Raw genomic sequence first — 13,325 nt, 5'->3', positions numbered from 1 at the left:
AGTACAGGTCGAGTATTCCTTAGCCAAAATGCTTGGGACCTGAAGTGTTGCAGATTTCAAATCTTTTCAAATTTTGGAATATTTACATTACATACTGGTTCAGCATTCCTAATCTGGAAATCCAAAATCCTAAATTCTCCAATGAGCATATACTTTGAGCATCATGTCAGTGCTCTATTCTTAATATCCTTGTGGATAAATAACTCATAGCAAGGAGAAAGAGATAATTTTATTTGCATTGCATAAAAGGTAGGGATGTAATCTTCAAGATTCATTATTATAATCTTCTGTGTACATTTCCTTTTTGTGAATAGTCCCAACTTCAGAAAACCCATATTTTGACAGAATAACTGGAATGCACAGCAAATTCTTAGCTACCTTTACCTAATAAGACCCATTGTACCTGGGAATATTGGAGACAAAAAGATAGAGTAACTGTGTAGTCTCCCTTGAACAGGATACAATTTGGTGGGGGAAAGACATCAGAAAAAAAGAACTAAAGCACTATTATACGTGCTCTAATTGTGATATTTGTGTACCAGTAAATTTAGAAGAAAAGTACAATTTTATAAGTAATAAAGGCAAGTCTACATAGACTACTACTTAGTTAATAAAGCTTCTACTGTTACATGGTAATAAATTATCTGCAAATTATAACTTATTTATAGAAGTTAGTCTAAGCTAGTTTGACATCTATGTGTTTGTGTTTATGGTTCTTTGCTGCTGAACATGTAGAACAAACAAATTAGGAATTAGTCTTTCATTGTAGTGCTGTGTGCTGAAGAGTAGCCATTTATCAAGGAAAATTCTATGCTTTTCTCACAACCCTCAGCACCCTGAAGGCTTTGCTCCATGGAAAGTGTAAGACCTTTGTGAAATCCAAGCATTCACTGAGAGGCACTAATGAAGCAAATAATGGCAGACAATTTAAGAACACAGGTGAATGATTATAGTGGACAACTTTGGGAAAAAATACAGGAGCTAATGAGTGAACTTGCTAACAGGTTTATCTGTGTATAGTGCAATGTCACAGGTGGCCCTGTACTGTATGCGTGTGTGCATGTTTGTGTGCGTGTGCAAGGGAAGAGAGATGAAGATAGAGGTTATAAATTGTGTTCTGAAGCCTCAAATAATAATGTCATAAAATGTTGATATATGTTTCCATGTCTCGGCAAATTACTATTTCTAAATTACATACCTTTGCCACATACAGAAAAATATTATTCTCATATTTGCATATTAACCATTTTCATCCTTTAATGTTGCTCAAGTTACATTTCCACCTTAGTTCAGTCCATTCATACCTGAGAGACACTAGGGTGTGTGTGCGTGCATTGGTGGCCAATAAGTAGACTTTATAATATACTAAGAATCTGCATAAAATCTATGTGGGCAGTACCCATATGCCCATTTTGTAGAATTTGGAGCACAGATATAACATTTTCAATTTTTCCATACAGGTTTATACTTGTACACTTATTTTTTGACACATCCTTGGTGAGATTTAGGGCGCTCTTCATTACCAGGCATTCTCTTACTGAATAAACGTTTCTAAGCACAATTATGCAACACTGACAAGGTTTCACTTTGAAAGGTATTTTATAACTAAGTGAGAAAAGGAAAGCAGGTGTCCCCTGTAGAAAGAAATCCCTATATAATATTTCTATGCTCGGCCTGTCCTAGAAAAGAGGTGAAAGTCATAATGATTTGTTTTGAGTAAGCTAATGAGCATCATTAGTTGGAAGTGTTCTGTAAATTAAATAATTCTCTACATGGCCTGGCTTAAGGAATGCTTTAATTTTTAGTGTCACTAAACTCTGCTAATGTTAAAGCAGTGGGAACTTCATATGAATATCAGGATTACATGAGGCACTAAAGAAATAAGTACCTAGTTCTGATGCCACAGACTGGGAAAAAGCCCAGGGGTTGAGGTGGGGGCAGTTGACTAATAGGGAAGTGACCTCGGCAGGAAGGGTCAGAGGAGGAGGGGTGGGACAGTGCAAGGTGCATTGGGCTCATTCTGACAATGCTTTGAGATGCACTTTGATCCTTGTAGCTTCCCATTAAGAACAATCAGTGGACCCTGAAGTCTAATAGCAGTCCATTCATCTTCCAAAAGACTCCCTCCTGGTCACTCAGCTCTCTGTAGGAGGGATTTCCCACCCGGAGCACAGTCCACCGGGGAAGGGGCTTATCTCTTTTCTTTTTTAGGTGCCTGCTGTTGTTTCACTAACTCAAGAGGGTAGACCAGGGAACACAGCTATCAGCAGGTTTCCTCTGCTTTTACTCTTTCGGTTAGTCTTCCAGAGCACAAACAACTGATCCTGGGGTTTAAAGAGTCTGTTCAGTTAAGAAGTTTCCCTATATGATTATTTCATAAAGTGATTCATATTTCAAAAGTGATTTCATACTTTTATTCCATCACTTGTTTTCCTCCATATTCTAGGTAACCCTATTCAAATACTATATGGTTCCTCACTGGAACTTCTACGGTTTGTGTTTTCAGGTGGAAAGCTAAGCACTAGGTATACATTAGGCCTTAAAAGAAAACAGCTGAAGCAATTGGACAAAATGATGGAGACTAATAGGAGGAAAGCTTAATTAAGGATAATTTTTTATCAAGGCAAATAACATTGATTCATTTTCTCTTCTTTGTGCACGGACTATGATCTTTAATTATTTATTTATTTGTCCTGTTTTCCTCTCCTCTGGATCCCATTCCCCATGATGGAGACATCACACATGCTTCACGTGCTGCAGACCCAGCACTCAACTCAACATCAGGAACTAGAGAGGACTTGGTAAATAGTCACTAAATGACTGAGTTCACGTTATGTTAGCAGATGTGTAATCTCCAATTTCACACATGTATGTATATGCCCATTGACATTAGGTCAGACTATTCAGAGATCCTTTAAGTTTTTTTTCTTGCTTCTAATTAGAAAGTTGAATGTAATCCACTCTACTTTTGAGGGCCTTTAAAACTGGAGAAAAAATGTTCTTCAAAAAAAAAAAAATCAACCTGGCAAAAGGAATCACACTCAGAACTGAGGTAGAATCATCCAGTTCACACTATTTTCCAAGCAAGAAAATCTTCTTTGATTATTTGAACAGTTTCCTGACTAAAGCCCAATATTTTCAGATGTGGGTCTGATGTTTCAATTCACGTGTTCACAGCAGGAAGTAGTGCTGTAAGATCCTCATCCCATGAAGGAGTCTGCTTTAGCTGGATCTTTCCATTTCACTACAGAATGAAGGTTCCTAGCACGACCACAGAGAGGTGAAGTAGCAATTGGCTCTCTCTTCACATTTCACTACAAGCATTGGCTTCCAACATGAAAAGGCAGCAACAGCATGTCATTGTTTTATTTCCAGAGAAGGAGATGGAAATTGATTGAGGGGCTGTGAAGTTGGTCCTATAAGGAAGTGGAACACATACAGAAACCTGTTCAGCTGGACACCACATCCGGCAGAGTTGAGCCTGCCTGCTGTGCACTTAGGAATGGTATAGCTGGGTTAATGATAAATTGAAAAATTTAGTCCCTTTCACAGTGCTAGGGCATTGTAGTTAGCTTAGATTGGAAACAACCTGAGTTCAGCTCAGGAGTGATAGGGATTGCTTTCATCAGAATCAGCCAGATGTGGGCTACCCTGTAGGTGGAGGATGGCTCTATTGCTGGAGAAACACCCCACACATGTACCACCCTCTGAGAGGACCCGAGTGGACTTATAGCTCTAGTGTATCGTTGCTTTATTTTTGTCTTTATTCTGCAGGGCATTGCTTTATATACTCCTCACCAGGCCCACTTTGCTGCACCATGACAATCATCGTTTGCTGAGTGATGCTTGTGGTGGTACAGCTGTGCATTTACAGCCCCTCAGTCCATGATTTGAGCAGTGGCATCCAGCTGGAGTACTCTGAGGGGTTCGGTTCTAGGCATCTACTTTCAATGTTTCAAAGAGTCTGCCTCAGAATGGAACTTTTATCCCAACCAAAGCACCAACCACCTCTAATGCACCTCAAAAGCAAAAACAACCCTACATTTGATGCTAGTTTTAAATTTCTATTTCTCTCAACTTGCATACTCAGTTGCATATTTTTGTTTGTTTTTGATTTTTGTTTGTTTCTTTGTTTGTTTTTGAGATGGACTTTCATTCTTGTTGCCCAGGCTGGAATGCAGTGGTGCGATCTCGGCTCACTGCAACCTCTGCCTCCTGGGTTCAAGTGATTCTCCTGCCTCAGCCTCCCAAGGGTAGCTGGGATTACAGGTGCCCGCCACCATGCCCAGCTAATTTTTGTATTTTCAGTAGAGATGGCGTTTCACCATGTTGGGCAGGCTGGTCTCAAACTCCTGACTTCAGGTGATCCGCCCGCCTCAGCCTACCGAAGTGCTGGAATTACAGGTGTGACCACCGTGCCTGGCCGCATATGTTTTTGAGTATTCAATATAAACATAAATTAATGATTAATAGACATCATTCCTAAAATAATGACTTTTTTTTCTATTTTTGAGATGGAATCTCGCTCTGTTGCCCAGGCTGGAGTGCAGTGGTGCGATCTCGGCTCACTGCAACCTCCGCCTCCCGGGTTCAAGCGATTCTTTTGCCTCAGCCTCCCGAGTAGCTCGGACTACAGGCAGGAGACACTATGCCCAGCTAATTTTTGTATTTTTGGTACAGACAGGGTTTCACCATATTGGCCAGGCAGTCTGGTCTCGAACTCCTGACCTCATGATCTGCCTGCCTCAGCCTCCCAAAGTGCTGGGATTACAGGCGTGAGCCACCGCACCCGGCCAACAATGTTTTTTTAAAGGCTTGTTTTTCAACCTTTACTGGGTATTTACCATATGTCAGACCGTCTGTCACATGCTTTTTGTAGCAACCCTATGAAAGGCAATATATTATCAGTTCCGTTGTATGAGTGAGAAAATTGAGTCACAGAGAGGTTAACTAACCTACCCTAAGACCTACAAACTTTGGAGTCAGAATTTGAATGCAGGCAGTCTGACTCAGGAATTCCTATGTTGAGTATGAGTTCCATGAAATAAAAGGGAGGAAAGTTATTGAAAGATATTAGATAATAATAATCAGTTTTAAAGGTTCCAGACTTGTATAAATAACAGGTAGGTTACTTGCTCTTTACCATAAAGCCAATATTCACAAGCTTATTTAATAATGCTAATAGGTGAACAGCAAATATCAAGGGGTTAGGAAATTATTCTTAGAAACTCTAGTTTAGAAGTCAGTCTTGGACCCTTTGGATGTCATGTCTTTGACAGGCAGTTTGCAGATATGCAGTTAAGTTTAACAGGAGCAGTGCAGAAGCATCTGGAATCAGGACGCTATGCCAGGAAAGCCTGAGAGCCTACAGAGACCTAAAGAAAGAAAAAGAGAATAACTAAGGTATTCAGCTCCTAGAGTCAGCTGCTTTCAGAGGCAGGTTTCCCTGAGGAGGTTTCCAAAGCAGTATGTTAAACTGTATTAATGTCAAAAGGTAAAGGAGAAGCCTGGTTTCCAGTTCAGCTCTGGAGTTCCCTTGGCTGGTGAAACAAGTACAGGTCCCCTGCCATCAGCCTTCAGCATGTCAGCAATTTTTTGCATTGCTTATTCAAATGCATCTTCAACTCTCTTGGAAAAAATTCCCCATTTTCCCTCATTATTTTCTTTCTCATTTTCACCACAACACCTTTTAAATATTTTTTTTTTTTTTTTTTTTGAGACGGAGTCTTGCTCTGTCACCCAGGCTGGAGTGCAGTGGCGTGATCTCGGCTCACTGCAACTTTCGCCTCCTGGGTTCAAGCGATTCTCCTGCCGCAGCCTCCTGAGTAGCTGGGATTACAGGCAGCTGCCACCATGCCCAGCTAATTTTCGTATTTTTAGTAGAGATGGGGTTTCACCACATTAGTCAGGCTGGTCTTGAATTCCTGACCTCATGATCCATTCGCCTCGGCTTCCTACAGTGCTGGGATTACAGACATGAGACACCACGCCCAGCCAATAAATGATTTTTATTTGTGGCCTTGTTTGTGCCTTCATTTGTTCTTTTCAAAGCTCACTGATTTATTCATTAATTCATCCAACACCTCTCCCATCTCATCCCATATTTATTGGCCACTTTGTGCCAGGCCAGTGTACTTGGTTCTAGGGCCAAACATGGACAATGTGTTCCTGGCACGCTTCTTCCCCAGCCCCTGGGTCCTCACATTGTTGGCACTGATGCAGCCTCCATCCAGGGCAGGCATATGTGGCAATTTTGCATTCTCTGCAACAGCATTACTGACTTACTCGTGTTCAATCAACTCTCACTCATTCCTTCACTCAGCTGCTCTCTTGTTGATGTTAGGGAGAGTAAGTTGAGTGACCTAATTCCAAGCTACCTGATCATCTTGTAAGCTTCAAAGAGTGGTGACTACAATTTATCAAGCTCTTTCATGAGTCTCATTTCATATGCTCCTCAAAACAACAATATATTGAGTGGGAAAAAATCTAATTTCAGAATAATGTATATATTGTGGGTATTATTTGGTAAAAATGAAATTCCACCATATTTATTTATCTATGTTTGTATGAGTATGGAGAAAGGGTAGAAGAATATACATTAGTAATAGAATGTGTATTGCCTATAGCAGAAGAGTGGTAATGGAGGGGGTAAGGGAGAAAATTGTCTTTGCTTTTATTTGGCTTTGTTAGGTAACAGGTGTTAGCACCTGATTCATTAGGTAAAAAAAGCATGCATTATTTCTGCAATTTAAGTAATAACAAATAGTTGGTTTTTTTTGAGTTGGGGTCTCATTATGTTGCCCAGGCTGGTCACAAACTCGTGGGTTCAAGCGATCCTCCTGCCTCAGCCTCCTCAGCAAGGATTACAGTTGCACACCAACATGCCTGACTCTAATATAAATTTTACATTAAAAAAATTAATAATCCTATGAGGTTGAGACCAGCAATTCCTCATTTTTATGGTTGAAGAAACTGAACCTGGGGGAAAGCCAGTATCTGCTCAGGTGACAGGGGCAGTAGCAGGCAGAGCCGGGCTCCCTTCCAGATCTTCTGGTTGAGAGCAAGATTTCTGCCCCTGGCAGCTGTATCCTTTCTGTAGAACAAGCACATTGCAACTTATTAGGATTTAGGGCAGTGTACCAAAGCAACATGAAATGCTCTGGGACCAGGGGATAAGACATTTTGACTGAAAGGACTGACTGTACACCTGTTGGCTCTAAGAGTGAGGACAGCCACCAGGTGGAAGACACCAAGGTCTTTATAACCCTTTCAAGGTTTCTCCTTCTGAATCCAGATCCCCTGAGAGCTCATGGCTATCATCAGATGGCTCTCAGGCCACAGCACCCAGCTCTGGCACAAGGAAGTAGGTTAAGGGTGACTCTTATTTGTAGGTATGGATAATTTTGCATTGTGAGTACCTAGTTGGAAGATGCCATAAGATATTTTCTGACCTGATTCTCTGTTTTGAATAGCTTTTTATATTTTATGCCAGTAAAAATTAATTTATATACTGAGGAGTCTTTACTTTCTCCATGGAAGGCTCTTTGAAAAGAGGAGTGATTTTATAGTGGTGACATCCCACAGTGGTCAAAGAAATTCAGTGCACCTGTAGTTGGGCAGGTAAGCAGCCAGAAAACTTTGGCACTTCAAGCAGTCTTGCCAGAACACCAGAAAGTCCAACAGGTGGAGCAAAATTAAACTTTTACGTGGTTCAATTTCTGCTTTGTATCACATTCAAAGAAAAAAACGTCTGGGAGAAAAAAATATAGCATAGATTCAGATGTATTCCATGTTTCTTAAATACAGTGTTGTATTTAGTGCTTTTCACAAGTGGCCGGAGTGGAGGATGCAGATGCTTTCTTAATGTTAAGCTGAATTTCTTAATTTCATGTTTAGAGATCATTGTCTTTCTCCTCCTCATTCCATGCCCTGCAGCAACTCCCAAGCAAGATTTCTCTTCTCTCTCCAGCCCATGGTCTCCCCTTGACACTCATCCTGCCTGTCTTCCCCATCTCTTTTGTCATTCTCTGTCTCCTTATGCCAAGTATGCCCTCAGATCATTTTCTCCTTCTCCATTCCTGTGTCACCACTGCTGTCAATTACCTCCCTTGCTACACAGTGAGAAGTGGCTTCCACTGGGCTTGCTATTCTCTTAAGAATCAACTTCACGCTGCCTTGGCCAAATCCCTCTTCCACCCTCTCAAACTCTCTAGAATTCTGGCTGACGGAACTTTTCATCTCACAAGACTAAATTTCATCTTTAAAGCCCAAGGTATAGAACCATAATCTGGTAGATTACGGTAAATAATCAAAGAAAAGTGGAGCTGCTTCAGCTGGCAACTGCATCAAGGAAGGTTTCCATGGTTGCTCAGGTTACCCCTTTTCCATTCTTGCATTACTAGGTGGAAGCTCTGTCCATTGATTGCACATGTTTTGTCCAAGCAGGCCTGGGGGAAGCTACTTGCCTGAGGGGTCAGTGAAGGTTTGTTCCTGCATAGATGGGCTCATTGTAATCACATTAACTCTCAGCACTTCTTGGGTGTTTCTCTTGCTCTTTTTGATGGAGCTAATGCCCATTATACAGAGATGTGAGACTCAATAGGGTGTTTTACATCAGTGTTTCATATTTTGCAAGACAGCAAAAATAGAGAAGAATGAAGGCCTTGAACATAGTGACAGATCCTCTTGGGATGAACCAATACAAAATTCATTATTTTCCCCACCTATTGTTCTAGTATTTATTCTAGGCATGGGAATATGTATGTATGTATGTATGTATGTATGTATGTATGTATGTATGTATGTATCTAGCTAGCTAGCTAGCTAGCTATCTTGTTCAACTAATGCTTTCTAGGAAACCATTGTTGAAATCTAGGGAAAAAATGGTAATAGAAAAATATCACTATTGCAAATAGATGTATAATTCTCAAATTCCATAAATTAAGCAAAACAGGAAGATTGTTATTTATTTTCTTCTTTTACAAGTCCCATAACCTTGTCATGTAAGCACATGTCTCCACATCTGCAGGTGGCTAGGATTCCTCTTAGCTCTAGTCCAAGTGTTGTCTGGGAACCCCCAGTCAGCCCACACATAGCAGGAAAGCATCCATGCACGTATGCTTTGGATGAGTGTTACAGAGGATTCACCAGGCTTTGTTTTGTGCTGGTCAGGTTCTAGTGCAGGGGTCTCCAAACTTTTTGTTAGTGTGTATTCATGCACAAATTAATGTATGGATAAAAATCAATGGAGATAGGAAATAAAATTTTTCTTCCTATCCGTCAGTGGATCATCTTGTGCACCATTTGGGATCACTAGTCTGTTCCCTTGTTAATTACACATGTGCAATTAACTTCATCTCTTCAATGAAGAGGGTAGGTGGCCAGTCATTGGAAACATTGTGCATGTGTGAAAGCAAACAGCATGGAGCATTTACCGGCACCCGTGGAAGATGCTGCTCTAAGGCCCCTGGAATACTACAGTTCTGCTAACATCCTGGAAGCTCTGTGATCCCATGAGCAGTTGCCCAGGAATTTTTGATGACAAGGAGGGGAGAATCTATGGAACAGTTGATTATTTTGATGTGTTTGAATAAAGTTTTTTACCTTTAGATGGCTTAGCCATAATCATTTGAAAGACAATTGAGAATGTCCTAGTGTCATTTTTTCTGCTTACAGATTTTACCCCATTTTACTAGATAATATCCCACCACAAGTTGATTACTGCAAAATGAAGAGATTGGGATTGTGACAGCAGTACAGCCCTAGATGCTGTGACCTCCAGGGCAGGTGCCCCAGCTTCTAGCATGGGGCTATGCTGGGTGGCCACCTGGGCCACCACTCAGAGGCTGCCCCCTTTGCTCCTACCCTCAGGGAAGTGTTAGGCAGAAATGAATAACACAAAAAGTGGGTCCAATGTGAAGTAACGAAGCCTGTGAGAGTAGAGAAAAACAGAGAGAAGTGTTTTGAGGGGAAAAGGTCTCAGAATACAGATGAGGCAAGAGCCAGCGAGCATAATTAAGCCAAAAGCCTTGGGCCTTTGCCCAGAGCAGCATTGCAATCGCTCGGTTTTTTGGACTGGGAAACCTCGGTTAACTATTCCCATTTCCCAACCTCAAATGGCTCCTAACTACTGCCACTCTGTGGCTTACAATGAAGTAAGGAGAATAAGTTAAACTTTATGAATCTATAAAATATGTTAATAAATTGCCTGTTAAGTAGGTAATTGTCCCTGGCTGGAAAACCTAGAGCAGAGGCAGGTGCTGTGAGGATGAGAAGCACATTTGACATCTCATCTGTCCAAGCAGGCCTGGGGGAAGCTACCTGACTGAGAGGATCAGTGAGGGTTTGTGCCTGCACAGATGGGCTCATTTTAATCATATTAACTCTCAACACCTTGAGGGTGTTTCTCTTTCTCTTCATCTGTGGACTTCAGCTTTCCTTAGTTGATTATAGGTTGGTAACAGTAAAGACAAAGGTAAGAAGAGCTGGTCCCTTATAACAGTCTGGGAGACTCTGACCTACTCGCAGCCCCAGCCAAAACAGAGGGCATTTCTCAATCTCTTGGAGAAACAACTCAGAGACCTGGCAGGTCACAATACATCTTTGTTTATCAAAGATACCTCATTCTGTCCCCACTTTGTGCCATTAAAAAATCTCAGCTCAATATAAGTAGAAAAAAAGAATGGAAAAATATGAAAAAAAAAAAACAATTTCGGTAAATTCCAAGTGAAGCTGCAGTGCCCTTTTCTGTCTTCTTCATCTTTAATAACCTATTTATTGTTGAAAATCCCCTGGCATATCCAACTTCAGCCACGGAGACTTTCTTAATTCTAATCACACCAACTCTCACGTTATGCATTCCATTCTCAGAATTTCATAGCAACTTGGGAATGCCTTTATTATCATACACTCAGTTTTCTTTGTAATTATTTGTTCATATATCTATCTTTCTTACAAGGGTGTGAGCCACTTTGGGGCAGGAAGCCAGATTTATTTTTCCCTCCCCTCATTTAATTTTATTTCATGTTGTTCTTATTACCATTTTTGGGCACACACCATACTCACATCCCAATATCTGTTGATTGTCTAGGTCCTCCAGGCTAATTTATTAATCAGTTGTCTGAAACTAGAAATGCAGTTCCCTGTAAGTTCAGTGCCCAGAATAGCAATCACATTTCTGGAATCATCAGTAACTCCCTGAAAATATATATTTGGGATTAAGGAGGCACCTGTGCATTAGCCATTGTAGGGTAAATGCCTCTGGTGGCAGTACCTTGAACGTATCCTTAGAATGGCCCTGCATGGCAGACACACCTGAATGTTAGTCCAAGCTAGAGAATCTGGGAGTAGCCAACCCACAGATTTGTTCCTTGTCTATGAGGAACACCTGAGCCCCCAGTCCATCCCATGAAACACAAGCCATACAAGGAATTGAAGCCTTGAGTTTTGGGTTACATGAAGGTTGCCAGATGGAGGTTGTTAAGGGGAGGGTGTTAAGGGAAAATACTATATAAACTGCATGCTGTTTGTAATCAGTTGCAGTTTTTCTGCCCGGCCTGCCACCACTGGACTGTAGGTAAGGGGACGATCGTGTCCATCCCACTGCTGCTGGATCATTTCTGTAATTAATGCGGTTCTCCTGTCCAGCCCACCATCTCTGGACTCTTTCCCCTGTATGTAAGCCTTGAATAAAACCCCATGTCTCATTAGCTGGCTCTGGGTCTCTTCTTTGGCCTCTTGAATCTGGTACCTTTCCTGCTGAAGTTAATAGGGGTTCAGGACAACAGCCATGAATAACCAAAAACAACTGTATTGCAATACTAATGGAATATAATATATTCTTTGTATTTTGTGAATATTACTGTAGCATATGAGTTGCCCATAAAATAAATCTTCTACCAGGGGTTTCAAATAGAACTCAAATGGGACTGGGATATAGATCTTGGGCTGGGCTCCACCCTCTCAGTACTAAGTGAAATGCTACTTCTCCAGACTCGCTAATTTCAAAGGCCTCAACAAAATAACAAGTTGTTTACCACAGCACTTAGGGATCATTCATACATAGATTAAATCAAAATATTAAATCCAAAAATGCACCAAAGCTTCTAAACATAAGTCAGGAAGGCAAAAATTGAAGAGGAAATAAGCATCCATTATTAGCGTGGGGGAAAAACTAGTATAATCAAAGGAGAATGAAGATTTGCAATTTAGTGACCTCTATGGTGATTCTGATAGGAAGGTTTAGGAAAAGCTAACAAATTTAGAGCTTCTTAATACCAGTTCTTGACTCATTAGCTGACATTCAAGGTCCTCTAAAAAGGTAACTCAAACCCAGGTCTTAGCCTAATTTCTCACTACCTCCCCTTCTGTGTGGTTTAGTCTTAGCTAAACTGGCTCCTGTTGTTCCTGGAACACGTGTGTCTGCTGGGACTGTTGTTACATTACCAGTGGAGGTGCAACGGCAGAGAAGCAGGAGGCTGCCCCATCTCCGGTTGTTACAAGATGCACTGCCAGCATACCTGAGAGCACGTGAGCTGTGCACAAGTAAGGAAGATTCTTGAATGCCATGGAATGCCTCCCAGCCCCACCCCTACCAGTAATCCCTTCTTATAGCCACAGTAGATACCTATACAGAGCTTCTGACATAATTCAACCTATTTTCTGAGGTCTGAGTGAAAGCCTGAGTCAAATCCTCCTCCTCCCAAAGTCTCCACTGAGACCCCCACAACATGTGGTCATTTGTTTTTTTCAAACCTTCACAGTACTTTGTTTTTGCTTTTTCTTTGATTTGGTCCTGTCCCTGTGTTTCTGTGGTTGTCAGTACATATCTCATAGTATGTGTGCTCTTTTTTAACATTTAACGTTTTTATTAGAAATAATGAAAAATGTATGTCTTAATTACTGGTATATATATTCACATCCTCCACCAAATCATCACTTTCTGTAAGGATGGAACTTTGCCTTTCCCATCATTTTATCCCCAGGACCTAGTGTGGTGTGAATGCTGAAGAAATATTTGCTAATGTGTGTTAAGATGATCACTGCTAGGAAGAGGCCAGGCCTCCATCCACTGGCCAGCCCTGGCCTTCACCCTGTCTCAGTGAAGGCTTCCCTGCCCCTTGGGCCTTTTTCCCGGTTTCCAGCACGGAGTACTTGGCCCACCTCCACCCTCACAGTATGTTATAGGAAGGGATGAGGGTGACCCTCAGATACCCAAAATGCCCAAGGTGGGTTGTGGTGGGTGCTGGATTTGCATCTTCTGATCCAAATGCCCAGGCCACTCCCAGACTCTGAAGCACCACATGGGGCGACATCTCTGCTGCATG

At 41.4% G+C, this 13,325-nt stretch overlaps 1 protein-coding gene across 4 annotated transcripts in view, besides 1 other annotated feature; it reads right to left on the bottom strand.

Moving 5' to 3' along the window:
* Positions 1-13,325, bottom strand: part of CLVS1 (clavesin 1) — a 536,782-nt gene that overhangs the window by 76,517 nt on the left and 446,940 nt on the right. The window lies entirely within an intron of this gene.
* Positions 1,821-2,338: an enhancer, noted in NCBI's record as "NANOG hESC enhancer chr8:62335334-62335851 (GRCh37/hg19 assembly coordinates)". NCBI's record gives its function as "activates a minimal SCP1, AML or CMV promoter by ChIP-STARR-seq in naive H9 embryonic stem cells {active_cell/tissue: H9 hESC(naive)}" and the evidence as "EXISTENCE:reporter gene assay evidence [ECO:0000049][PMID:30033119]".

The sequence above is a fragment of the Homo sapiens genome, chromosome 8 (genome assembly GCF_000001405.40).
Source record: "Homo sapiens chromosome 8, GRCh38.p14 Primary Assembly".
In the NCBI taxonomy this organism is placed as follows: domain Eukaryota; kingdom Metazoa; phylum Chordata; class Mammalia; order Primates; family Hominidae; genus Homo; species Homo sapiens.
The sequence above is the reverse complement of the archived record's forward strand: the minus strand, read 5'-3'. Positions and strand labels throughout refer to the sequence as shown.